This window comes from Homo sapiens, chromosome 1 (assembly GCF_000001405.40).
Source record: "Homo sapiens chromosome 1, GRCh38.p14 Primary Assembly".
Taxonomy (NCBI): Eukaryota; Metazoa; Chordata; class Mammalia; order Primates; family Hominidae; genus Homo; species Homo sapiens.
The window spans coordinates 23470296-23497712 of NC_000001.11; the positions used below are offsets into that span (position 1 = coordinate 23470296).

Genomic DNA, 27417 nt, shown 5'->3' on the forward strand with positions numbered 1-27417 from the left:
GACTCCAAATGGTTTTCCTCTGGATCAGCCCCCACCCCCAGCACCTGAGAGTCCAGGCTGGGGCAGAAGGGGGTGCCAGAGGAGGGCAGTGCTCTTCCCAGCTACCCCTCTGCCTCATCCATACCAAGGTGGCCCTTGGCCCTGCTTGCCACCCCACAGCCCCTACGGTGGCTACACTGCAAGGCCTGGGAGCCAGGACCCAGGGCCAGCCCCAGCCCTGCCCCTGTCTCGCGGTGTGACCTGGCCAGTCTCCTTCCCACCCTGAGCCTCTGACTCCTCTTCTGGAATGAAGGGTTTGGGTGGTGACAGGGAAGGCTCCTGTATGCTCTGACATTTATTATTTCAGGATCCCCTGGCCTCTTGCTGTTTTCCTTCCTGCACTGCTGGGGCCTGTGACTGGCCGTGCGCCCCTTGGTCAGGCCTCTGCAGACGTCTTCCCAGCCTGGGCACTTGTCCAGCCTCACCAGCTCAGCCTTACCGGCTGTCCCTTGTGGGGTGGTGGGAAGCAGGGAGGAAGAGGGGTTGCAAGAAGGGAGCCACACCCTCGATGTATGCTGAGGCCTCTGCAAACCCCAAGTTTCCTGGCTGGGATTTTCCTCAGGAGATTGCTTGGCGGTGATGAGCTAAGAGAACAAGAACTTTGCTGGACTAACCGCGGAAGGTTCCTCCTACCCGACCCCTGGCCTCAAGCCCTGAATTCCACCCAATCCTGGGGAAGAACCTGGCCTGCCCTCTTGGACAGAGCAGCAAACAGTACTTCCCACCTTCTGGGTTCCCTTGTTGGCCAGGATGAATCCCTCCCTGCCCCCCACTTGGGCTTGCTATCCATCACTGGTCCCTTAAAACCATCCCTATTGAACTCTTGGCAATTTCCTAAATATGCCAAACTGTTTCCAGCCATCAGACCTTTGCTCATGCTGCTCCCTCTGCCTGGAGGGCCCTTGCCCCATTCTGTCTAGTAAACACTTCATCTTTCCCGACTCAACTTACAGGTCACCCCCTCCCCACCACAACAGAACTGATCCTGCCTACCTTTATTCCATCCTATGCCCACTACAGGCTTTCATTAGAGTATCCTGGCCCTTATTTGCCATACATGTCTGATCTCTACGGGGCTGAAAACTCCAGAAAGGCAGGGAATGGCTCATTTACCTTTGTATCTGCAGCACTCAACACAAAACTCAGGATGTGGGTGTTAATAAGCATGTGTGGAATGAATGAATGATTAAATGTATGAATACATACTAGCAAGGCCCAGTGGCAATATAGAAAAGACAGCAAGGGTTAAGGACTCCGGCTTTCAAGTCATACTGTCCTAAAGTCCAAATTCTGGTTCCAGTCCTCTTAGCTGTGTGACCTGAGGCAAGTGACACAGCTTCTCTGATAGATGTTCCCCATCTGTCAAATGGCATAATAACAGCATCTATCTAATCAGACTGAACTCAGTCAGGCATTTAAGCACGTGGCCCAGCATAATACACACAGAAAGGGCTTCATGGTAGCTATTCCTGCCCAGCAGACACCTTCTCTGTATCCAAATAACTGGACAGGCCCTGTGTTATGATGTGCTAATATCTGAAAAGTGCTTACAACACTGCCTGGTGTGTTTGTTTTTCCTATTTTTATTGCTTTTTAACACAACCCAGACAACACGGATGAACCTTGAAAACACTGTGCAACTGAAAGAGATCAGACAAAAAAGGCCACATATAGTAGGATTTCATTCACATGAACTGTCCAGAATAGGTAAAGCCATAGAGATGGAAAGTTGTCGGGGGCCGGGGAAAAGGAGTGGAGAGTAACTACTAATCAATACAGGGTTTCTTTTTGGGATGATGGAAATGTTCTGGAATTACATAGTGGTGATGACTACACAACACTGTGAATATACTTAAGGCCACTGAATTGTACATTTTAAAATGGTGAGTTTTATGTTATGTGAATTTTACCTGAATGAGAGGAAATCTACCTAAAAGCAACCTAAGGGATTGTAGGGTGCAGCCAGGACTGAGAACTGCTAGGTAGCCTCTCAGCAAATGTTTTGTTTTGTTTTCGTAGAGACAGGGTCTTGCTTTGTTGTTTGAGACCAGGGTGGTCTCAAACTCCTGGCTTCAAGTGATCCTCCCACCTTGGCGTCCCACAGTGCTGGGATTACGGGTATGAGCCACCACACTGGCCTCAGCAAATGTTTGACAAAGAAATGAACAGGAGGCAGAGAGCAAAGGGCAGAGCTGAGGGAAGACCCTGCCTTGTCCAAAATCAGGCTTAGCTGTTCATTCCCCAAAACCTCCAAGGTACATAAGGTTTCTCTTTTTGCTCTGGTGCCAGGACCGCACAGATAATCTCAACACTCACTCATGGTAATTACCTCATCCCTATTGCAATTACTTTCCTCTTTTCTCTGTATGTTTCCTGATCTTTTTAACTACCCTATGTGCAGGTGTACTTGTGTTTACAGTAAGAGGGAATTTTAAAAAATTACTAAGTACCTGTTACGTGCTAGGTTCATGCTTGCTAGATTTTCTATGTGTTATCCCCTCAAACAAACCCATAAGACAATTATCTTCATCCCTAATTCACAGATCAGAAAACTGAGATTCAGAAAGGTTAAGTCATTTGCCCAAAGTCACACAGCCAATAGGAATTCAAACCCAAGTCTGTCTGACTTTAGTTACTGGACTCTCGCCACAGACCTCAGCCACATCCCTGTATGCTACAGGTTGTCAATCAACTTTTCACTGGCAGAGTCCTCCCACCCAGAAGGAGACCTTGTCTAGTTCTCTCCGTGCCCTCAGAGCCTGCCTTTGTACACCACAGGCATTCAGTAAATATGGCTTAATGGATTACTAACCTTCAGTGGGCATGCAATAGCTTACCACAATAGTTTTCACCCCAACTGCTCATCAGTTACCTGGGAACTTCTGAACTGCACACTTGCCCAGGCCTCGCCCCTGGGAGATTCTGATTCAGTGGGTCTGGGTGTAGCCCGCAGCAGCTGAGATTCTTAAAAGCTCTTTCAAGGTCTAAAACCAGTCAAGTTAGAGAACCTTCAGCAGCTGTTCCCAGCTCAGCCTCCCATGCCCTCCAAAGCACCTCCTGTGACGTTGGTGAGGTGGAATCAGTTTTTCCAGGGCCCTGACCTAGAGTCACAGAAGCCACTCACTGTTCCCCTGTGGGTCTCACTCCCTCATCTGCCCTGGGCCCAAGTTCTAGGCCCATCGAAGGGACCTTCTAGCAGCATCTTGTCTGAGAATGATATGATCAAATTGCCTTCAGGGAAAGCATGTTCCTTCTGCTCTGACCTAAAGTTACAGTTTCTGCCTCCAAATCTGCCTGAGTCATCTGTCTCCTTGTACCTCAGTGGCCAGAAACAGCTGAACACTAGGCAAGGAAGTGAGCACAAAAAAAGACAAATTTGGGGAGAGAAGGAGACTTTGAGAGACAGGCTCAAGGTTGACAACTCTGGGAAGACCCTCGGCCCCCTGTGCAGAGGCTGTTGGTAGGGAGGAGGCTGGTTCAGTGGAGTTGGGTCCCCAGTCCATCCTAGAAAACCCTGCTGATCCCAGGGCCCTAGCCACACCCTATGTCTCTGCTCCCCTTCTAGGGAGAACTTCTCATCTGCCCCCTCCTCAAATCAGTCCAGGATGGTGTGGAGGCGAAAATGGCATTAAATCTGCTCTTTTTTTTTTTTTTTTTTTTTTTTGAGATGGAGCCTTGCTGTGTCTGCAGTGGCACAATCTCGGCTCACTGAAACATCCACCTCCCGGGTTCAAGCAATTCTCCTGCCTCAGCCTCCTGAGTAGCTGGGATTACAGGTGCCTGCCACCATGGCTGGCTAATTTTTGTATTTTTAGTAGAGATGGGGTTTTGCCATGTTGGCCAGGCTGGTCTCGAACTCCTGACCTCAGGTGATCCACCCGCCTTAGTCCCCCAAACTGCTGGGATTACAGGCGTGAGCCATAAATCTGCTCTTAAGGTTCCCAATGACCTCCGTGTTGCCAAAGCCAGAGGCTGTGTCTCTGTCATTGTCTTATTTTACCTCTGGGCATCTGGGCAGCATCTAACAGAGCCGAGCACCCCTTCTCCTCGGAACACTTCTCTCCTGGCTTCTGAGGCACAACACTGTCTTATTTCCTTCCTTCCCCACTGACAGCCCGTTCTTGGTCTCCTTTATTAATTCCTCTTCCTATCCCAATCTCTTGATACCGAGGGTCCCCAGGGCTTGGGTCTGGGCCTTCTTCGTTCCTCTCTCTAGGTGATCTTGTCCATTCCACAGCTTTATTTATTTATTTATTTTTATTTTTTTGAGACATAGTCTTGCCCTTTCACCCAGGCTGGAGTGCAGTGGCGCAATCTCGGCTCACTGCAACCTCCACCTCCCGGGTTCAAGCGATTCTCCTGCCTCAGCCTCCGAATAGCTGGGACTACAGGTGCGTGCCACCACGCCCGGCTAATTTTTTGCATTTTTAGTGAGACGGGGTTTCGCCATGTTGGCCAGGCTGGTCTCAAACTCCTGACCTCAAGTGGTCCCCCTGCCTCAGCCTCCCAAAGTGCTGGGATTACGGGTGTGGGCCACCGCGCCCAGCCCCCACAGCTTTAAGTACCAGTTCAAGCAATGGATGCAAATGTGGTTCAGGCAGCACCTGCATGGGAATTTCCAGGGTGCTGGTTTAAATGCAGATTCCCAGACAATCCCACAAGCTGGCAAACTTGCTGTCAAGTACATCTGTCATTGTGTGCCAGTCTGGCATCTGACCTCCTTCCTATGTCTGGGGACTTCCTCACTGCACAGGTCTTGGCAGAGTTCACCTCCTGTGAAAGCTGAAAACAACAAATTCTTGCTTTTCCAGCCTCCCTTACACCTAAGCTCAACCAATCAGAAGCCCTCACTACAGACTTTGAATCAGGAGCACAGTGGAAGATCCATTCCAATGCTGGTGGCAACCACAGCAATGGTGTCTAGTGTTCAGGGAACAGTGACACAGCGATGGCATTTAGTGTGTGGCAGCAGTGTCCTGCCAAACTGGCTCGGTGGCATGATTTTGGCTGAGATCCTGCCTGCTGCCCAGCCCCAGTTTTCCAACTTCCCAGAAATTCTGTGAACTACTGAACATTCCCTTTCAGTGCAGCCCTTTTCTGCTTAAATCAGCTCAGGATGGTTTCTCTTGCTTGCCATAAAAAGCCTAAGATACCACCACTGAATCATACTCTCTGGGAATGACGCCAAGTGATTCTGACACAGATGCAGGTTTGAAACCCACGGTCTCGATGCTAACAGCTCTCAAATGTGTATCTCCAGCCCGCTCCTTTGAATTCCAAACTCACATACTGCCTTCTTGACATCTCCACTTGGATGTCTCAAGACCTATAAAGATATACAGATAGAATTCTTGGCCAGGCACAAGTGGCTCATGCTTGTAACCCTAACATTTTGGGAGGCCAAGGCAAGAGGATCACTTAAGCCCAAGAGTTTGAAACCAGCCTAGGCAACACAGCGAGACCTCATCTTTACCAAGAGAAGAAACAAATTAGCATGGATGTGGTGGCATGTGCCTGTGGAAGCACGAGGATTGCTTAAGCCCAGGAATTCAAGGCTGTGGTGAGCTATGACTGCACCACTGCATTCCAGCCTGGGCAAAAGAAGGAGACCCTGTCTCTAAAAAACAAAAAATTAAAAAAAAAAATAGAATTCTTGATTTCTCCCCAAACCTGTTCCCCTGCCAGATTTCCCCTTCTCGGTATATGGCACCCTTCCATCAGAAATTTAAGGCCGGGCACAGTGGCTCACACTTGTAATCTCAGCACTTTGGGAGGCTGAGGCGGGCAGATCATTTGAGGTCAGGAGTTTGAGAACAGCCTGGCCAACATGGTGAAACCTCATGTCTATTAAAAATACAAAAATTAGCTGGGTGTGGTAGCGGGCGCCTGTAGCCCCAGGTACTTGGGAGGCTGAGGCAGGAGAATCGCTTGAACCCGGGAGGTGGAGGTTGCAGTAAGCCGAGATGGTGCCACTGAACTCCAGCCTGGGCAATACAGTGAGACTCCATCCCAATCAAACAAAAAAAAAAAAGAAAAAAAGAAATGTGGGACACAATCTTGAGCACTGCCCACATGTACTCCATCGACAAATCTTGACTGCTTATAAAACACTTCTACAATCTGTGCACTTCTCTCCTCCTCCACCAACCACAACCCGATCCACACCACCATCATCTCTTCCCTAAATAACAGAATGGCCTCCTTGGGTCCTCTCCTGGCCCTTCCAATCTAGTTTCCATACAGCAACTGATATGATCTTTCTAAAATACAAACTGGATTATGCTGCTTGCCTGTGTACTAAATAAAACTTAAACTCACTACCAGGGCCATCAAACTTGAATATGGCCTTGCCACCACCACCCAAACTCAGCAGGTGCCACTCTTCCCTTTGCCCATCTCAGTGCTTTTGCCCCTTGGGCCCCCTTTCAGGGTCACATATATTTCAGCTTCTTTACTGCCTCAGGACCTTTGCCTAAGAGGTCCCCTCCATCTGGAGCACCCCCATACCATTATTCTCTATGAATGCTCCTTTTTAGTTTTTTTTTTTCTTTCATTTATTTGTTATTCAACCAACATTTTCTGAAAACACACTATGGTTCTATGGTAAATACTAGGGACACAACAGTGAGATTAGTTTCTATTCTCATAGAAGTCAAAATCTATTGACAAATTAGATCTTAATAAAATAATATTTTGTCGGGGGACAGAGTCTTGCTCTGTCGCCCAGGCTGGAGTACAATGGCGTGACCTGGGCTCACTGCAACCTCCACCTCCCGGGTTCAAGCAATTCTCGTGCCTCAGCCTCCCAAGTAGCTGGGATTACAGGCACGTGCCACCATACCCAGCTAATTTTTGTATTTTTAGGAGAGACAGGGTTTCGCCACGTTGGCCAGGCTGGTCTCGAACTCCTGACCTCCAGTGATCCATCTGCCTTGGGGAGGCTGAGGCAGGAGAATCACTTGAACCCAGGAGACAGAGGTTGCAGTGAGCCGAGATCACGCCACTGCACTCCAGCCTGAGCAACAGAGTGAGACTCCATCTCAAAAAAAAAAAAAAAAAAAAAAGAAGATGTTCCTTGGTGATGAGGGGCACACGTGGAGGTGAGAGGTCGCACCACTCATTGTGAAAACAGCTCTGGAAGGGAGCCTGAGGGAAGTTAGGAGTGTGGTCAAGTATGCACTGGGACATGAGGATCTAGGCTACAGGTACAAATGTGTGAGTCACCTGGAGATGGGAGGTAACTAAGGCCACACGTGTGGACAAGATTCCCTGAAGAGATGAGGACCCAGAACAAACCTCAAAGAAGGCCTTGACGAGGAGGATGAGTCTTCGTGCCACTTAGTACAATGAGCAACTTCTGACTTATTTGTTCTTTCTGTTTGTTTTGTTTTGTTTTGGAGACAGGGTCTTGCTCTATCACCTAGGCTAGCATGCAGTGGCACCATCGGAGTTCACTGCAGCCTCAATCTCCTGGGCTCAAGTGATCCTCTCACCTCGGCCTCCCAAAGTGCTGGCATTCAGGCATAAGCCACTGCACCCGGCTGTGACTTATTTGTTTACCTGCTTACTGTTGGGCTTTGCCAGAAGACTGTAAGGTCCACAGGGCAGGGACTGCATCTCTAACTGAGCGATGCATCTGCCCAGTGCCTCATACAGGGCCTGGCATGGAGCAGTCCCCCAGGCACTATGCTGGCAGGGCCAACCCCATCCATTCCTTGAGCAACATGATTGGGTCCACTGGTCCACACCGCCCAACAAAAAGTCAGAATGCTCAATTGGCATTCAAAACCCTCCAAGTCTTGCTGCACCCCCTTAGCATTCTAATCTCATCTTTTAAATCTTTTAAACTGCTGGGCACAGTGGCTCACGCCTGTAATCCCAGCACTTTGGGAAGCCGAGGTGGGTGGATCACCTGAGGTCAGGAGTTTGAGACAAGCCTGGCCAACATGGCAAAACCCCATCTCTACTGAAAATACAAAAATTAGCCAGGCATGGTGGCGGGCGCCTGTAATCCCAGCTACTCGGGAGGCTGAGGCAGGAGAATCGCTTGAACCTGGGAAGTGGAGGTTGCAGTGAGCCCAGATCGTGCCGTTGCACTCCAGCCTGGGTGACAAGAGTGAAACTCTATCTTAAAAAAAAACTCCAGCCAGGTGCAGTGGCTCATGCCTGTAATGCCAGCACTTTGAGAGGACGAGGCGGGTGGATCACGAGGTCAGGAGAACAAGACCATCCTGGCTAACACGGTGAAACCCTGTCTCTACTAGAAATACAAAAAATTATCCGGGCGTGGTGGTGGGCACCTGTAGTCCCAGCTACTCGGGAAGTTGAGGCAGAAGAATGGCGTGAACCTGGGAGGTGGAGGTCACAGTGAGCTGAGATCGTGCCACTGCACTCCAGCCTGCATGACAGAGTGAGACTCTGTCTCAAAAAAAAAATAAAAAATAAAAAATGAAAAAACTCCTATACCTGAGTTTTCTAAAGGGGTTCTTCTATACCTGAGAGTATGCATAAATGATCTAAACCAGGGAGGTACAGAACAGGATGGACACAGCACCTCTCCCTGGAACCTGGACTGTGTGAAATAAAGAGGAATCGCCATAGATACTTCTGAGGGGATTTTCCAGGCCCTGCCCCTCTTCTCTGAGAAGCGCCCCCTCCCACACCATAGGTCTCAATGGCCATGTTTACCCTGCCGGTCACTTTCCCTCCATGACCTCTGCTGATGAAACCAGGGGTGGAGACCCAGCCACTGGACCCAATCCAGAAACTGGGCCGGGCTGTCAACCTCTGCCAGGAACTTGGAAGTGGGACATGAGACTGGCTCAATCTAGTGTCCGGTTACCTTTAGACACTGGCCCAGTGAGGTCATGTGAGCATGGGGGCTGTGCTTTGGGGCCTATGTGATGATGAATGAGCGAAAGCACTGATCAGATGTGCAGAGGGAAGCAGAGGCAGGAGAGAACAAGAATGACGAAGCAGCTGCCTTAGTTCCTGACAACTTCCCAGCCTCCAGTTCCAGGCCCTGGAGAGGTGTACTTTTACCTCCGGCTCTTCAGTCTCATGAGGCACCTCTAATTCTTTAAAGCCAATTTCCCTCAATATTCTTCTCTGACGATCAAAAAACAAACAAACAAATTTCCCTCCAACAGAAACAAGCTTGACAGGGTTTATGTTTCTTGCAAACAATCTCTAAGATTACACAATTTTTACACTAAAATACATTTTACAAAGCAAACTGTAAAATTCACAAGAATATTAAAAATTAAGAAGGAAATCCTTTCTAAAACAAGATTCAAAAAAGCAAAAGTCACAAAGGAAAAGAAAAATGTAACTCCAAAACAATTTAAACTGTGCATTATAAGACCTGATACCAATTTAGGTAAACATTCCCCCAGCCACTCCCATTCCCCCACTGATAATATATTTTCCATGAGGAGATACATTGGGAAGCATGTACATTTCCATAGCAATTACCTCTGGGGAGAATACAGGGATTGAGATAGTTGTTCATAGGCCTTTTCTGTTATGTTTTAAATTACTTATTACAAATTATGCCCTGGCCGAGCATAGTGGCTCACGCCTGTAATCCTAACATTTTTGGAGGCTGAGGTGGGCAGATCACTTGAGCCCAGGAGTTCAAGACCAGCCGGGCAACATAGTGAAACCCCAACCCTACAAAAAATACAAAAATTAAGCCGGCGCCAGTAATCCTAGCTACTCAGGAGGCTGAGGTGGGAAAATCACCTGAGCCCAGGAGGTTGAGGCTGTGGTGAGCCATGATTGTGCCACTGTACTCTAGCCTGGGTGACAGAGTGAGACCCTGTCTCAAAAAATAAAATAATAATAAATTATGCCACTTGTCCAATTAAAACTTTCTTTTAAAATTTCAAAAATATATACAAAACAAGCCTTTGAAGATCTCCTATTTGTGGCAGACTGCTTCATCTGAGACCTACTGGAGGGGGTGTGTCCACTAGCAGTTTGAGGCACACAATATAGTATGAATTCTTAGCTCTGGTCAAAATGGCTTACTTGGTTCCCAATATGCTCTCTTCCCACCAGTCTCTGAATTCACTCCCTTGTCCTCTCCGATAAATGGGGTTCATCTATCCTTCCACCTGGAAGTGTCACCTCCTCCAGGAACTTCTCCCTCATTGCACCAGTCCTTACTGCTCTCTCCCTCTCCTGCTCCACTTGCCTCTTATGGCATTGACTGTACCTTTCTCTGGGGACTCAGGACAAACTCCTGGGGTTCTTACTGATCTCCCTGTAACAGGCTACTTCTCCCTAGTCAGTCAGCAAATCAAAGTAGCATCTTTATGTCCTTAGTGTCCTTTATGTCCATAGAGATGGCACAGAGAGCTGGACAGAGCCCAGGCAGAGCACAGCAGAGTCAGAGAGACCCACTGTGTGACACAGGGCAGCTGCCTCCACTGCCCTAGGCCCGGTTTCACCTGTTGTTGTGAATATCAATGAGATGATGGGCATAAAGGGGCCCAAGACAGGAAGAGGCTGGTTGACGTAATGACTATCTTAATATACTCCCTCACATTTGCATGGTGCTTCATAATTGAACACAAAAAACTTTAACAACCCAGTAAGGTAAGCAGGGAGTGATTAAGAGATCCATTTTAAGGATAAAATAACAAGGTTCAGAGAAGTTACGTAGGGAGGACAGACAGATGGACTTTAAAAGGAAAGAGAACAGGACCGGGGGTAGAACACGTGGGTAGAAATGCTAACTTTCCCACTATCCAGCCGCAGGAGCTTGGCCAAGTCTCTTGGCCTCTCTGGACATCAGTTACTCCATCTTATCTGAGAGAGTTTCTAGCTGGTCTCTATCTTAAAAGGGTCCCTCAGCCCTGACATTCTAGTTTCCTGTGATCTGCCCAGGGTCCTTCCCAGCAGGACTGTACAAAAGGGCTGCGAGTCCCAGGACAGGGTCCCTAGTTACTCCCAGGAAACCAGTCAGAACTGGAAGACTTGACTTAAGAATCAGTTGCATTTTGATTCAGTCAAATAGAGCTACAAGCCTGGGGGTGGGTTAGTCAAGCCCAGAACTGGGGGAAAAAATTGCAGCATCAAACTATATGTAAACACAATATAATCGCAAAATATAAATGCAAATGCAAAACCAAACAGGAAACCTCAGGGAAGTCTAATCCAAAGTTCAGACTCTAACTTTTTGGGCCCTGAGATGCTGAAGAGAAAAGCTGTGTTTGGGTGCCGCAAGCCTTTCTGTTGTAACAATGAACCTCTACGTGCACCAAACCAAAAATCTGAAGGCAAAGGAGGATGGGTTTTGTCTTGCCTGAACTGGGGCAAAGCTGAGCCCTGAACAGAGCCTGCTGTGGCCTCCAGACCCATTCTAAGGGTCCCTCCCCCAACACACAGTGCTTACACTTACACAGCCAGGCAAGGCCAGATGTATGGGCATAAATGGGCATTTCTGTCCATGGATAAGGTTCATATTGGAGCCCCTTCTCCTGCTCTAAGATTCTAATGAACAACCTGGGGAGGAGGATGAACCATGAAATCCCTAAGAATGTGGATGGCACTGAGCTATTCTGGGTCATGAAATGTGAGGCTATGAAGACAAATCTCAGGAAGCTCTCCAAAGGATGGGCTGGACAGCAGTGTTTCCCTGTGAGCCCCACAGTAAAATATAACCCACATCCACAGGCAGTGGACTCTGCCCAAGGAAGGAAGCCAAATCTGACCGGCTGCTTCTTATTTTAATAAAACATGTACCCCTACTATGTGCAAAGTAGTAGGCTAGGCTCCGTGAGACAAATGAGACAAGGTGAGGCTCTGTGAGACAAATGAAGACAAAAGAGACCCAATCACTGTCTAAAGAGATCTGCCGATTAATCTGACGATAATCATTCCATTTATCAAGAGGCATGGGCCAGTGCAGCGGCTCACACCTATAATCCTAGTACTTTGAGAGGCCAAGGCGGATAGACTGCCTGAGCTCAGGAGTTCAAGAACAGCCTGACCAACATGGTGAAACCCTGTCTCTACTAAAAATACAAATATTAGCCGGGTGTGGTGGAGCATGCCTGTAATTCCAGCTGCTTGGGAGGCTGAGGAATGAGAATTGCTTGAACCCGGGAGGCAGAGATTGCAGTCAGCTGAGATCGCACCACTGTACTCCAGCCTGGGAGACAGAGCAAGACTCTGTCTCCAAAAAAAAGATGCATGCTTTATATGCATTGTCTCATGTGAGGTACACATTATTACCCCCATTCCACAGATGACAGGACAGGTCACATGCCCACGTTCACCCAAATGGCAAACTGCAGAGCCAGCGTTTGAAAAAAGGTCTGCCTTGGCCGGCGCGGTGGCTCACGCCTGTAATCCCAGCACTTTGGGAGGCCGAGACGGGCGGATCATGAGGTCAGGAGATCGAGACCATCCTGGCTAACACGGTGAAACCCCGTCTCTACTAAAAATACAAAAAAAAAATTAGCCAGGCGTAGTGGCGGGAGCCTGTAGTCCCAGCTACTCGGGAGGCTGAGGCAGGAGAATGGTGTGAACCTGGGAGGCGGAGTTTGCATTGAGCCAAGATCGCGTCACTGCACTCCAGCCTGGGCGACACAGCGAGACTCCGTCTCAAAAAAAAAAAAGGAAAGAAAAAAGGTCTGCCTTCCCCAAAGTCGATGCTCCTTCCACAATCCTCTATCACCCTTACAAAGTGATACAAACAGACTCCGAGATGGAGGGTCACCCTGACAAGAGAGAAGAGGACAGATTTCCTGACACTGGCGCAGGGTGTTATGAACTACTGAGCTTTGTATCTGCCACGCAGTGGGTGCCTAGTACACTTAAGGTGAAGGGTGGAAGGCTAGAGCCGTTGCTGAGGTCCAAAATGCCACCCAAATTGAGGGCATCCTTTGGATGGGGAGCTGCAAAAACACATTATTCTCCGTTGGACCAAGGCCACGGGGTGTCTGTCCTAGAATATTCTTTGCAGAGGAGCTGCGGAAAGCTGCAGCAGGTTCAGAGAAGAGGAATGGAAGGAACTCCGAAGAGCATGGGAATGGGGTGGGGCAGCCTGCAAGACCGAAAGAAAAGGCCTGGGACGCTTTGCTGGGAAAGACAAAGAGGAGAGGGGAGGGGAGAGGAGACGATAAACTTGCCAACAGCCCGGCCAAGGTGAACCCCGGCTCCTGGCGCCTTCCCATCCGCATTCATTCCACAAACGCGGGCCAAATCTCCGAACCAGCCGCAAGCGGGAGGGGGCCTCTCTGCAGCCGGGGGGAAGAAAGTTCAGGACTGAGGCGGGAAGCCTGCCTCTCAGAAGGGGAGTGACTCGGGGGGCACACTTGTGGGGCTCCGAAGATGAAAACGCAAACTGAGGCTGGAAGGCGCTAGGCAAACACATATGTGATGAGGCGGTCACGCGGGGCACTTGGGGTACGTCCCCCGACCTGTGGAGTTTGTCATCGAAGAGACCTCGAGGCCCCCCAAAACGGTCCCTCGGGCCTTCCCCCGCCTCGACGGTGAGGACGCAGCTGTTGGAGATGCGCTCGGTCCTCCCAGACCTAGGGAGGGGGCAGGTTTCGGGGCGCGGTGAAGGGCCATCGCAGCTCGGGTGCGACACGCCTGTGGAGGTCAAGGCCAGGCCCGGCGCCGACCCCCGACCCCTCCCGCCTCGGCCCCCTCACCTCCTCCCGCGCCAGCGCCGCCCCTCGGTACCGGGGCATCTTGGCGGCGAAGGCGGCGGCCCCAGCCGGGGAGCTGAGGTCCTCCGCGGTGACGGCCAGGAACTCGGCGACGCTGAACTGCTCCGGCATGGCGGGCGCGAGCGTGGAGCTGCCGGAGCGGGGCGCGGGGGGCACTGAGCTGCTCCGCGCTGAGCCGGCCTCACCGCCGGCCGGGGGCGCCGTCCCGGCCTCCACACGCCCCGCCCCTCCGCACGCCCCGCCCCCGACCCTCCAGCCGCTCTCCGCTCCTCAGCTGGGACGGCCCCGCCCCCGGCTCCTCGCCTTCCTCCACCGCCAAGGTCCAGGCTCCGGCCCCGGTCCCGGCCCCGCACCGCGTCAGGCCGCTTCCCCGGCCCCTCGCCGGCCCCCTAGGCCACGCCCCCAGCCCCTCACCGCCTCAGACCCCGCCCCCTGGCGCGATGCCCCACCCCTGGCCTCAGTAGAAACTCCTCCGCCTTCCCCCATCCCTGCCCCTTCAGGGCTCTGTCCCGTTTCATCCCGCTCTGGGTCTTCCAAATCCTCCTCCCTTGCACGGCCCAGGCTGTTCCATCTCCGCGTCGAGTCTTAGAGCCCCCTCCCTCTTCCTCCCTCCTCTGCTGATTCGTTCCGAGTTCCCCATGACCTCGCCCCTTCTGCCCTACCACCCCCCCGCCACCCTTCCCTCCTCTCTCCCCAGTCCCGCCCAATCTCCTTGCCTCGCTCCGCCCCGAATCGCCCCACCCCTCCTTTGCTGCGTACGCCCAGCTCTCAGCCTCAGCTTTGCAGGCATCCGGAGACTCCCTCCTGATAACCCCCGCCGCCCCGGGGATGTGTGGATCGGGGCCCCTGGCTAGCTGTGTGACTTGGGGAAAATTACTTCTCTTCTGGAACCTCAGTTTCCTTATCTGTACAATGGGAAGCCTGATGCCCGCTTGATTGTGATGTTGCGAAGAACCGAACACGTGCGTGTACTAGTTCCCTCTTACCCGACCATAGATCGCACCCACGCCTTTACTCTTCCTGCTCCTGCCTTTCACCCCTTAATCTGGCTCACCATCCTTTGGGGCGGATGAGGGATGGGGTTCAGGATAGAAATCCACTTAGGTTTAGTTCTGAAGCCTGAGGTCCTCTGGGGAAAAGTTCTCCAAGTAAAAAGCTAGGAAAGCACCGCAGCAAGGAACATTGGTTTTGGAGTCAGAGGAACCTAGATTCCAATCTTGGTTACTTTGGATAAATTGCTTGCTTCTCTAAGCCTGCATTTCCCCCTCTTAAAATGGCCTCATGGTATTTTACCCCACAGGGCGGCGATTGAGAGAATCTTTTCTTTTCTCGCACAGAAAAGAAAAGAAAAGAAAAAATCCGGAAAGATATGCACTAAAATGTTGCACCAGCAACATTTTATGCACTAGCTGAAGACAGATATGCACTAGCTGAAGACATTATGAGTAACTTTCTTTTCTTTTGGTGAATCTGTATATCCTAACTTTTATACAATGACCATATACTACTGTGTAATAGAATTAAAAGTTGACGGGAGCGATGGCTCATGCCTGTAATCTTAGCACTTTGGGAAGCCGAGGTGAGCGGATTGTTCAGGAGTTCAAGGCCAACCTGAGCAACATGGCGAAACCTTGTCTCTACAAAATATACAAAAATTAGCCCGGCGTGGTGGCTCTTGCCTGTAGTCCCAGCTACTTGGTGGGCTGAGGCAGGAAAATGGCTTAAACCTGGGAGGTCAAGTTTGCAGTGAGCTGAGATCCTGCCATTGCACTCCAGCCTGGGTGACAAAGTGAGACCCTGTCTCAAAAAAAAAAAAAAAGAAAAAGAAAAAGAAAAGAAAGAAAAAAGAATTAAAAGTTGAAAAAAATGTGTACCATCTGATAGAGACGACAACTATTCCAAGAGTTCTTTCAAGGTCAACTTCTCCTGTTGAAACCAAATAGGCACTTTTCTTGTTATTTATTTTTAGAGACAAGGTCTCACTCTGTCGCCCAGGCTGAAGTGCAGTGCAATGATCATAGCTCAAGGCAGCCTCAAACTCCTGAGCTTAGGCACTTTTCTTGCTTGACTTTTAGGAGCATCTGACAATGTTAACCACTCCCTTCTCCTTGAAACACCCTTGCCCCTGAATCCTAGGAGAACTATTTTCTTTGGTGGCCCTCTCCCTCTGGCTGTTCCAAGAGCCCTTTCTGAGATGCACTTCCTCCGCAGGGATCTTAAATGCTGGAGTTGTTGGGAGCTCTCTGCTAAATCCTCTGCATGTCTCACTCTATCAGCCTTCCTGGATTTCTTCATCCAATCCCAACGGTAATGTTGATGTCTTCTGTACTAGTTTCCTGTTGCTACTATAACAAATCACCAATAACTTCCCTCAGCCTCCCGAGTAGCTGGGATTACAGGCACGTGCCACCACACCCAGCTAATTTTTGTATTTTTTAGTAGAGACGGGGTTTCGCCGTGTTGGCCAGGCTGGTCTTGAACTTCTGACCTCAGGTGATCCGCCCACCTCGGCCTCCCAGAGTGCTGGGATTACAGGCATGAGCCACTGCGCCTGGCCACATTTATTCTTTTACATGTCTGGAGGTCACAAGTCTGCAATAACTTTCACTGGGCTAAAATCAAGGTATCAGTGGGGCTGTACTTCCTCTGGATGCTATAAGGGAGCATCTGTTTTCTTGCTTTTGCAGCTTCGAGAGCTGTAGTTTTTGCATTCTTTGGCTTATGGCACCTTCCACCTTCAAGGGCAGCAGCATCTTCAAGCATCTTACTTGCCTTCTTCCCTGTGATCAAATTTCTCCCAGCCTCCCCACCCCTCTTCTTTTTGTTTTTTTTTTGTTTTTTTTGAGACGGAGTTTCACTCTTGTTGCCCAGGCTGAAGTGCAATGGTGCGATCTCAGCTCACCACAACCTCCGCCTCCCGGGTTCCAGCGATTCTCCTGCCTCAGCCTCCAGAGTAGCTGGGATTACAGGCATGCGCCACTATGCCCGGCTAATTTTGTATGTTTAGTAGAGATGGGGTTTCTCAATGTTGGTCCTCGAACTCCTGACCTTAGGAGATCCACCCGCGTCGGCCTCCGAAAGTTCTGGGATTACAGGCATGAGCCACGGCGCCCGGCCCCCTCTTTTTTTTTTTTTTTTTTTTTTTTTTTGAGGCAGGGTCTCATTCTGTCACTCCAAGCAGTGGAGTGATCACAGCTCCCTGAAGTCTCAACCTCCTGGGCTTTTGCGATCCTCCCACCTCAGCCTCCCAAGTAGCTGGGACTGCAGGTGCATGACACCACGCCCAGCTAGTTCAACCTCTCTCTTTTTTTTTTTTTTTTTTTTGAGACGTGATGCCTCTCTGTCGCCCAGGCTGGAGTGCAGTGGTGTGATCTCAGCTCACTGCAACCTCTGCTTCACAGGTTCAAGGGATTTTTGTGCCTCAGCCTCCTGAGTAGCTAGAATTACAGGCCCATGCCACCACACCCAGCTAATTTTTTATTTTTATTTTTTATTTACTTATATTTTTATTTTTTGTATTTTTAGTACAGACAGGGTTTCATCATGTTGGCCAGACTGGTCTCCAACTCCTGACCTCAAGTGGTCCACCCACCTGGACCTCTCAAAGTGCTCAGCCTCCCTCTTATAAGGACATTTGTGATTACATTTAGGGCCTATCCAGATAATCCAGGATAATCTCCCCATCTCAAAATCCTTAATTTAATCACACCTGCAAAATCTCTTTTGCTATATAAGTGCCATTTACAGGTTCCATGGATTAGGACCTGGATATCTTTGGGAGCCATTACTGAGCCAATCACATCTTCCAAGGCTGTATTTCCAGCCTGGACTCTTCTCTAGTTCAAGATCTATGTATCCAGCCACCTATGAGACAGTTTCATTTCACTGGCTCACAGACAGACACCTTAAACTCTACAGGTCCAAAACTGAACTCACCATCTCGTACGCCCACTCCTTGCACCAGATTGTTTTCTGTCCCTGTCTTGATGGAAGGCATTACCATGCACCCCCTCGGAGTCATCCTCTCCTCCCTTCTTCTACCAACCTCCCCTCAAACAAGTCTTGTCACTAGTCTCACCAGTGAGACCACCTTCTCCATCTGCAGGCCAACCCCAGTCCAGACCACTGCCACCTCTCACTTCCTCGCTGGTCTCCCTGCCCCTAATCTTGCATATCTGTTCTGTTGCTCCTCTACTTAGAACTCTTCAGTGCCCCCCGCATTGCTCTCTGAATAAAAGCCAAACTTGTTTTCATGGATGTCTAGCCCTGCATGGTCTTGCTGCTCCTGCCATTCACAGGCTGATCTCTTGCCTCTCTGTCCCCACTGTGATTGAGCCCCTTCACTGTTCTCCCCTCCGTCTGTAATGCTCTCCCACGTCCTTTCAGCAGGCCAACTTAGATGTCAATTCCTCCAAGAACCCTTCCTTGATGTACTTACTCTGGACTCCTACGGGATCCAGTATCTCCCACCACAGCAATTACCACTGTGGACTGTAATAATCAGTTTTCTGGTCTGGGGCTCTGGCCCACCTATTTATTTATTTATTTATTTACTACGTACTAGTCACAGGGCCAAGGGCTATACAAGCAATAGCTCACTCAATACCCACTCAATACTCACAGCAACCCTATGAGGTAGGTGACGTTATGCTTCCCATCTCACTGAAATTAAAGCTTAGAGAGATTAATTTGTATAAAGTCAGAATGAACAAGTAATATAACCAGGATTCCAACCCAGGTCTGCAAGACTTTAAAGCCTTCTTTGTTTTGTTTTATTGTTATTATTTTGAGACAGGGTCTCACTTTGTCACCCGGGCTGGAGTGCAGTGGCATGATCATGGCTCACTATAGTCTAAACCTCCTGGGCTCAAGGGATCCTCCCATCTCATCCTCCCAAGTACCTGGGACCACAGATGTGTGCCACCACACTGGGCTAACTTTTAATTTTTATTTATTTATTTATTTATTTTTGAGATGGAGTCTTGCTCTGTCACCCAGGCTGGAGTGCAGTGGCTCAATCTCGGCTCACTGCAAGCTCCGCCTCCCGGGTTCACAGCATTCTCCTGCCTCAGCCTCCCAAGTTGCTGGGACTACAGGTGCCCACCACCATGCCCAGCTAATTTTTTGTATTTTTAGTAGAGATGGGGTTTCACCCTGTTAGCCAGGATGGTCTCGATCTCCCTCCCGATCTCGTGATCCGCCCGCCTTGGCCTCCCAAAGTGCTGGGATTACAGGCGTGAGCCACCGCGCCTGCCACTTTTAATTTTTATATGGAGGTCGGGGGGCAGGGGTCTCACTTTGCCCAGGCTGGTCTCGAACTCTTGAGCTCAAGTGATCCTCCCTCCTCAGCCTCCCAAAGTGCTGGAATTATAGGTCTAAGCCACTGAGCCTGGCCATTCTCTCTCTCTCTCTTTTTAAGTAAAATAACTTTTTGTTTTTACTTAAATATGTGAACAATTCAATTACAGTGAAATTTTTTCTGAACCTCCAGGTTTAGGGTAATCTTTAAGTAATCTATAGGTATTTGATATTATGTCATGCCCGACTATGTTTATATTGGATCAAAATAGAGAAGGAGAGAAAACTGTAAGGATTCCAAGTGTTTGATATACCTAATGCAAATACTGTACTTTCAGTGCCATAATTTTTAAAATAGAACCTCTCAAGATAGCTTATCCTCATTTCTGCATACAATCAATAAATAGAGACTCAGGAGCAACTGCTTGAACAGTCCTCTGCTGGTACCGTTACCGGAAAGGGGTCCAGACCCCAAGAGAGGGTTCTTGGATCTCACACAAAGTCCATAAAGCGAAAGCAAGTTTATTAGGAAAGTGAAGGAATACAGAATGGATAACCTACAGGCAAAGCTGCCCCCAGGGGCTGCTGGTTGCGCATTTTTATGGTCATTTATTGATTATATGCTAAACAAGGGGTGGATTATTCATGAGTTTTCCCGGAAAGGGGTGCTCAGAACTGAGGGTTCCTCCCCTTTTTAGACCCTATAGGGTGACTTCCTGACGTTGCCATGGCATTTGTAAGCTGTCGGGGCACTGGTGGGAGTGTCTCTTAGCATGCTACTGTATTATAATTAGCATATAATGAGCAGTGAGGATGACCAGAGGTCACTTTGCAGCAATCTTGGTTTTGGTGGATTTTGGCTGGCTTCTTTACCACAGCCTGTTTTATCAGCAACGTCTTTGTGACCTGTATCTCATCCTGTGACTTAGAATGTCCTGCTTTCTGGGAGTGCAGGCCAGTAGGTCTCAGCCTTATTTTACCCAGACCCTATTCAAGATGGAGTCACTCTAGTTTAAACACCTCTGATGGTATTATTAGATTCTTGTGCTTGATTTTGGTTCACTGGCAAACTGCCATGTGCCAAGAGGAGAGTCCTCTGGGGTGAAGCAGTTGGGAGGGTAAGAAATGAGCTCAGAGAGGTCCTGGGATGCTTGCTCTCTGGAGCAAGTTTTTTTCCAGATAAAATCAAACCATCAAGGGGTTGGGCACAATGGGCAACATAGTGAGACTTCACTTCTACAAAAAATTTAAAAATTAGTCAGGTGTGATGGCACGTGTCTGTAGTCCTGCTACGTTCTGCTACTTGGGAGGCTGAGGTGGGAGGATTGCTTGAGCCCAGGAGTGTGAGGCTATACACAGCTTTGATCACGCCACTGGTTAGAGACAGGGTCTCGCTCTGTCACCCAGGCTGGAGCACAGTGGCATGATCATGGCTCTGTAACCTTGACCAATCCTCCTGCCTCAACCTCCAGATTCATTGCGACTACAGGTGCATGCCACCATGCCTGGCCTTGCTATATTCTCTTAAACTCTGCCTGATCAGAATTTTGCTCCCACCAGCCACTGAACTGCTCTCATCAAGGCCACCATGACCCCCCCACCTGCTGAACCCAGAGGTCAGTGCTCAGTCCTCATCCTGCAGCCCCTCCAGCAGCTGCCTAATGTCTCCCCCATTTCTTTACTTGGCCTCAAGACACCACACTGCTTTGATTTTCTTCCTCTCGTACTGGTGGCTCCTTCTTGAACTCCTTGGTTTGTTCCTCCTCTTCTTTCTGATTTCTCAGCACTGAGGACTCCTCTCCACTCTCCATGCTCACTCCCTTGGGATTCCACCCAGTCCCATGGCTTTAAATATCATCTAGATCCTGGTGATTCCCAACTTGTAACTCCAGCCTGGACCCTCTCCCTTGACCTGCAGATTACTATATCCAACTGCCTCCAGACACGTCTGCCTGGAAGTCTAAGGGGCCATCTTGAACTTAACCTATGCAAAGCTGAATTCCTGGCTTCCCTACCCAAAGTACCTATGCATACACACATGCACACACGCACGCACATGCACATGCACACACCTCTTCCTCATCTAAACTGGTGGCAACTTCCATTTTCTTCTTCTTCTTTTTTTTTTTTTTTTGAGACAGAGTCTCACTGTGCTGCCCAGGCTGGAGTGCAATGGCATAATCTCGGCTCACTGCAACCTCCGCCTCCCGGGTTCAAGCAATTCTCCTGCCTTAGCCTCCCGAATATCTGGGATTACAGGTGTGCGCCACCATGCCCGGCTAATTTTTGTATTTTTTAGTAGAGACAGTGTTTCACCATGTTGGTCATGCTGGTCTTGAACTCCTGACCTCGTGATCCGCCAGCCTCAGCCTCCCAAAGTGCTGGGATTACAGGTATGAGCCACTGCGCCCAGCCCACAACTTCCATTTTCTAGCGTTCAGGATGAACATTCTTGACTCTTCTCTTTCTCTCACACCCCACATCATGAAATCCATTGGCTCTATCCCTAAAATATATCTAGAACGCCACTCCTCATCACTGCACCGCTAGTGGCCTGGTCCAAGCCATTGTGATCTCTTGCCCGGATCACTGCAGGAGCCTTCATTGTGCTCTCTGCTTCCACCCTGGCTGCTCTACAGCCTATTCTTTTTTCTTTTTTCTTTTTTTTTTTTTTTTTTGAGAGAGAGGGTCTCGCTCTGTTGCCCAAGTTGTAGTGCAGTGGCAAAATCTTGGCTCACTGCAACCTCCCAACTTCAAGCAATTCTCATGCCTCATCCTTCCAAGTAGCTGGAATTACAGGCATGTGCCACCATGCCCAGCTAATTTTTCTATTTTTAGTAGAGATGGGGCTTCGCCATGTTGGCCAGGCTGGTCTTGAACTCCTGACCTCAAGTGATCCACCCATCTTGGCCTTTCAGAGTGCTAGGATTACAGGTGTGAGCCACCATGCCCGGCCTACAGCCTATTCTCAACTGAGCAGCAAGTGACTCTGATACCAGATCATGTCATTGCACTCTGCAAAACCCTCTAATGCCTCTCACTCAAGCCAAAAGCCAAGCCTTGCATGGCCTGAAGGTCTTACCTAATCTGCCTTCCTCTGACCTCATCCCTTCTCACTCTCCCTCTCCTCCCCTGCTCCAGTCACATTGACTTCCTTAGTGTTCCTTGAATATACTTGGCACACTTGTGCCCCAGGACCTTTGCACTGGCTGCTCCTCCTGCCTGGCATGGTCTTCCCACAGATATCCACATGGCCAGTGTTCTCACTTCTTTCTGCCAAGTCTTAGCCCAAATGCTACCATCTCAGGGAGGCTTATCCTGACCACCCAATTTAAACTGCTATTGGCCAGGTGTGGTAGCTCACGCTTGTAATCCCAGAACTTTGGGATACTGAGGTAGGCAAATCACCTGAGCCCAGGAGTTCAAGATCAGCCTGGGCAACATGGCAAAACTCCATCTCTACAAAAAATTTGCTGGGTGTGGTGGCACACACCTGTAGTCCCAACTACTCGGGAGGCTGAGGCAGGAGGATCACCTGGGCCAAGGGAGGTTGAGGCTGCAATGAACTGTGACTGCACCACTGCACTCCAGCCTGGGCGACAGAATGAGATCCTGTCTCAAAAAACAAAAAGACTATGATGATGATGATGATGATGATGATGATGATGATGATTATTTGAGACAGAGTCTCAAATTGTCACCCAGGCTGGAGTGCAGTGGTGTGATCTTGGCTCACTGCAACCTCCACCTCCCAGGCTGAAGCAATTCTCGTGCCTCAGCCTCCTGAGTCGCTGGGATTACAAGCGCACACCACCATGCTCGGCTAAATTTTTTTGTATTTTTAGTAGGGACCAGGTTTCACCATGTTGGTCAGGCTGGTCTCGAACTCCTAGCCTCAGATGATCCACCTGCCTCAGCCTCCCAAAATGCTAAGATTACAGGCATGAGCCACTGTGACCAGTCAGGATGATGATTATGTTAGGTCTACCTAGATAATCCAAGATAATCACCCATTTCAGGGTCAGCTGATTAGCTATCTTATCACCTGTAATCTTAATTTTCCCTTGCCATGTAATATCACATATTCACAGGTTCGGGGGATTAGGACATTGGATATCTTTTGGGAGTGGGGCATTATTCTGCCTACTGTGATGGGTAAGTAAGAAAACACTGTTGGCCAGGTGCAGTGGCTCATGCCTGTAATCCCAGCACTTTGGGAGGCTGAGGCGGGTGGATCATGAGGTCAGGAGTTCAAGACCAGCCTGGCCAAGATGGTGAAGACCCGTCTCTATTAAAAATACAAAAAAATTAGCCGAGCGTGATGGCAGCTCGGCTGAGTAGCTGTAATTCCAGCTACTCAGGAGGCTGAGGCAGAGAATTGTTTGAACCAAGGAGGCAGAAGTTGCAGTGAGCTGAGATCGTGCCACTGCACTCCAGCCTGGACGACAGAACGAGACTCCATCTCAAAAAAACACAAAACCCAAAAAAACGACAACAAAAAAAACACTGTTGTTGGGCAATGACATATAGGGACTTTGAGCTATGAGTATACCTGTGCTCAAAAAGCTACCAGGGGGCCGGGCGCAGTGGCTTACACCTGTAATCCCAGCACTTTGGGAGGCCGAGGCGGGCAGATCACGAGGTCAGGAGATCAAGACCATCCTGGCTAACATGGTGAAACCCCATCTCTACTAAAAATAAAAAAAAAATTAGCCGGGCCTGATGGCGGGAGCCTGTAGTCCCAGCTACTCGGGAGGCTGAGGCAGGAGAATGGCGTGAACCCGGGAGGTGGAGCTTGCAGTGAGCCAAGATCGCGCCACTGCACTCCAGCCTGGGAGACAGAGCGAGACTCTGTCTCAAAAAAAAAAAAAAAAAAAAAAGCTACCAGGGATCAGGGATCCCCACTGCTTCCAGGATAAGGGCAAGATCTCTCAGCCTAGCAGGCAAAGCATGTCATGAATTGACCTATATTCCCATTTTATGAACAGGTACTTTCTGGCTTCCTTGCTTCCACTCTACCTGAAAGCCCTTTTCTTCCATTTATGATCTTGAAAGTCCTTCCATTGATTATGGTCAAGTTCAAATGTTGCCTCTTCCATGAAACCTTTTCAGAACCCCCAGAATGAGTCTCCCTCCACTGTTGCTACTGTGGAATTTGTCTTGATGGGAGTCATTTGTGTATGTACCAGTTGGGGGTCGTTCCCATCTAAGCGTGGGCACCTGGACCATGGAGTCCACCTCAGCATAGGTCAGCAGTTCTCACACTTGAGTGTGCATCTGAATCACCTGGAGGACTTATTAAAATGCAGACTCCTGGGGCCAACATCCAGAATTTCAGATTCAGTTGATGTGGGATGGGACCTGGTCATCTGCATTTCTTTTTTTTTTTTTTAAGACAGAGCCTAGCTCTGTCGCCCAGGCTGGGGTGCAATGGTGCGATCTCGGCTCACTGCAACCTCCACCTCCCGAGTTCAAGTGATTCTCTCCTGTCTCAGCCTCCTGAGTAGCTGGGATTACAGGTGCCCGCCACTGCACCTGGCTAATTTTTGGTATTTTTAGTAGAGACAGGGTTTCACCATGTTGGCCAGGCTTGTCTCGAATTCCTGACCTCAGGTGATCCGCCCATCTCGGCCTCCTGAATTGCTGGGATTACAGGCGTGAGCCACCATGCCTGGCCAGTCATCTGCATTTCTAACAACTACCCAGGTAATTCTGATGCTGCTGGTCTGGGGAGTACACTTTGAGAACCACAGGCACAGAAGCTGAGATGTTGTCATCAGGCTAGACCTGGCTTCAAATCTCAGCTCTGCCTCTTACTCTGTGATTCTGGATATGTCCCTATCCCTCTCCGAGCTGCTTTCTCATCTATAAAAGGATTCATCTTCCCCTCCCCACTGGGGTGATGTGAAGAGTAACAGGCTTAGGACAATTCCAATTAGGACAATTGCAGGTTCTTAATAAAAGGCCTGAAGCTCTACCTCTAAAATTTTCCTCCCCCTGTGTTTTGGCTTCCTAGTAGGTGCTCAATAAAAACTTGTGAATTGGTTTTAGGGGAAACTACTGCCTTGGACACTTGGAAAAAAGGTGCTGGCAGCCGGGCGCGGTGGCTCACGCCTATAATCCCAGCACTTTGGGAGGCAGAGGACAGCGGTTCACTTGAGGTCAGGAGTTCAAGACCAGCCTGGTGAAACCCCATCTCTACTTAAAAAAAAAAAAAAAATTAGCTGGGCTTGGTGGCGTGTGCCTATAGTCCTGGCTACTCGAGAGGCTGAGGCATGAGAATCGCTTGAACCCAGGAGGTGGAGGTTGCAGTGAGCCAAGATTGTGCCACTGCACTCCAGTCTGGGCAACAGAGCAAGACTCTGTCTCAAAAAAAAAGCTGGCAACATGAGAAGTGGTGGGTATGTCTGGGTCAAAGGAATGAATGAACTTCACACTGGTGAGCATTTTCCTGACAATAACAATCACGTCAGAAGTGACAGCAGATCAACTGTATTGCAAGTTCATGGTTATTTATCCACAAAAGCTTCCCTAGTACCTCCAAGGAACCTGGTGGCTGGTGGCCCTGCCAGGGTTACAGAGCTCAAGGGAAGGTGGTGGTCCTCAAAGGGCTCAGACCATGAGGAAGATTTGTGTAAGTAGAGAAATAATGAGGCCAGGCTCATACCTGTAATCCCAAAACTTTGGGAAGCTGAGGCAGGAGGATGGCTTGAGCCCAGGAGTTTGAGAGCAGCCTGGGCAACTTAGCGAGACCCCATCTCTTAAAAAAAATACAAAAATTAGCCAGGCATGGTGGTGTGCATCTATAGTCCCAGCTACTTGAGAGGCTGAGATAGGAGGATGACCTGGACCCGGGAAGTCGATGCTGCAGTGAGCTGTGATTGTGCCACTGCACTTCAGTCTGGGCAACAGAGGTAGACCCTATCTCAAAAAAAAGAAAAAGAAAAGAAAAAAAAAAGGGGCCAGGAGCAGTAGCTCACGCCTGTAATCCCAGCACTTTGGGAGGCTGAGGCGGACAGATCACAAGGTCAGGAGTTCGAGACCAGCCTGGCCAATATGGTGAAACCCTGTCTCTACTAAAAATACAAAACTTAGCTGGGCGTGTGGCGGGCACCTGTAGTCCCAGCTACTTGGGAGGCTGAGGCAGGAGAATCGCTTGAACCCGGGAGGCAGAGGTTGCAGTGAGCCCAGGTCGTGCCATTGCACTCCAGCCTGGGCGACAGAACGAGTCTCCATCTCAAAAAAAAGAAGAAGAAAAGAAAGAAATAACAGGATCAGGCTTGTCCCAGGGACCTGAAAGTACAGCCTAGTAGTGGTGGTGGGATAGGGGATTGCTGGCCTTAGGGCACGCATTGTCTGGGAAGAGGATTCCCTGTGGCTGGGACACTGCCTACAGGCTTCCCCAAGGGCCTGTTTCCTTAGAATACCAAATACACACACATGCAAATCGTGCTTTCTTTGCTGCTCCTGAAGCCAGGTGTCTTCTCACAGTTTATATTTGAGGGACCACTAGTCAAACTGTTTGTGGGCAAAAGACTGTGTCTTTGTTTCCCCAGAATCTGGCAGTGTACACACACAGAAAATCTTAAAGGTCAGAATGGAGCCCCCATAATGCCAGTTAGGAGGCTGGACCACATGGAAGTCACAAGCATGGCCCTTGGAGCTTAGATGGCCACGTTGCAGTCTGGTTGTATCACCAGGACCGGGACTAGGGTGAGGCAGGTGAAGTGCCTCTCTTGCTCACCCTTACTAGCTGTGTGACCTCACATAAGTAAATTCACCTCTTTGAGCCTCACTGGCAATAATAATGCCTATTCTATAAGGTTTTTGAAAAGATTGCATAGAATAAAACCTGGTCACTAAAGAGATCTCAATAAAAGGTAGCTTTTCCCAATTTCTGCATTTGGCAGAGTGGCCAGCAGAGGGCAGTGGTCCCCATGCTGGGAAAATAACCTGCCTGGGCAGAGGCCTAGCTAGCGCTGACGGGGCAAACAGTTCGAGTGGTCAGGGATCCCTTTAATTGAGGGACTACACGCTCCAGGAAGGGGTGTGTGGCCATAACTGGGTCAACACAACCACTAGCCAACAGATACACTGGGCATCCTGCTGGTCACCCTTTGCTGTGGTCACTTGTTTCAAGCGATTCTCTTGCCTCAGCCTCCTGAGTAGCTGGGACTACAGGCACACGCCGCCACGCCTGGCTAATTTTTTGTATTTTAGTAGAGACGGGGTTTCACCGTGTTGCCCAGGCTGGTGGTGAACTCCTGAGCTCAGGCAATCCTCCCGCCTCAGCCTCCCAAAGTGCTGGGATTGTAGGCGTGAGCCACCACACTTGGCCCTGTTCTACATATTTTAACCATGGAGCCACCTGGCCTTTTCCCAAACAGCTCCT

General features: G+C 49.5%; 1 protein-coding gene across 9 annotated transcripts in view, besides 6 other annotated features; it reads right to left on the bottom strand.

The window, feature by feature from the left end:
- The window catches only part of ASAP3 (ArfGAP with SH3 domain, ankyrin repeat and PH domain 3), a 56069-nt gene extending 41733 nt beyond the window's left edge, over nt 1–14336 (bottom strand). For 5 of the 9 annotated variants that reach the window (NM_001143778.2, NM_017707.4, XM_017001685.3 and 2 more), the window contains exon 1: nt 13710–13884. In NM_001143778.2, the coding sequence (NP_001137250.1) occupies nt 13710–13838 (129 nt within the window). In that variant the 5' untranslated portion in view covers nt 13839–13884. Of the gene's footprint in view, nt 1–13709; nt 13885–14176 lie in introns of those variants that run through there. The other 4 variants (XM_047424481.1, XM_017001688.3, XM_017001689.2 and 1 more) reach the window with 2 other exon arrangements.
- Nucleotides 4043–4544: an enhancer, noted in NCBI's record as "H3K4me1 hESC enhancer chr1:23800831-23801332 (GRCh37/hg19 assembly coordinates)". NCBI's record gives its function as "activates a minimal SCP1, AML or CMV promoter by ChIP-STARR-seq in naive H9 embryonic stem cells {active_cell/tissue: H9 hESC(naive)}" and the evidence as "EXISTENCE:reporter gene assay evidence [ECO:0000049][PMID:30033119]".
- Nucleotides 4545–5044: an enhancer, noted in NCBI's record as "H3K4me1 hESC enhancer chr1:23801333-23801832 (GRCh37/hg19 assembly coordinates)". NCBI's record gives its function as "activates a minimal SCP1, AML or CMV promoter by ChIP-STARR-seq in naive H9 embryonic stem cells {active_cell/tissue: H9 hESC(naive)}" and the evidence as "EXISTENCE:reporter gene assay evidence [ECO:0000049][PMID:30033119]".
- Nucleotides 13719–14168: a silencer, noted in NCBI's record as "silent region_412". NCBI's record gives its function as "represses an Ori minimal core promoter by ATAC-STARR-seq in GM12878 lymphoblastoid cells {active_cell/tissue: GM12878}" and the evidence as "EXISTENCE:reporter gene assay evidence [ECO:0000049][PMID:35858748]".
- Nucleotides 14289–14398: a silencer, noted in NCBI's record as "silent region_413". NCBI's record gives its function as "represses an Ori minimal core promoter by ATAC-STARR-seq in GM12878 lymphoblastoid cells {active_cell/tissue: GM12878}" and the evidence as "EXISTENCE:reporter gene assay evidence [ECO:0000049][PMID:35858748]".
- Nucleotides 14409–14458: a silencer, noted in NCBI's record as "silent region_414". NCBI's record gives its function as "represses an Ori minimal core promoter by ATAC-STARR-seq in GM12878 lymphoblastoid cells {active_cell/tissue: GM12878}" and the evidence as "EXISTENCE:reporter gene assay evidence [ECO:0000049][PMID:35858748]".
- Nucleotides 14649–14748: an enhancer, noted in NCBI's record as "active region_364". NCBI's record gives its function as "activates an Ori minimal core promoter by ATAC-STARR-seq in GM12878 lymphoblastoid cells {active_cell/tissue: GM12878}" and the evidence as "EXISTENCE:reporter gene assay evidence [ECO:0000049][PMID:35858748]".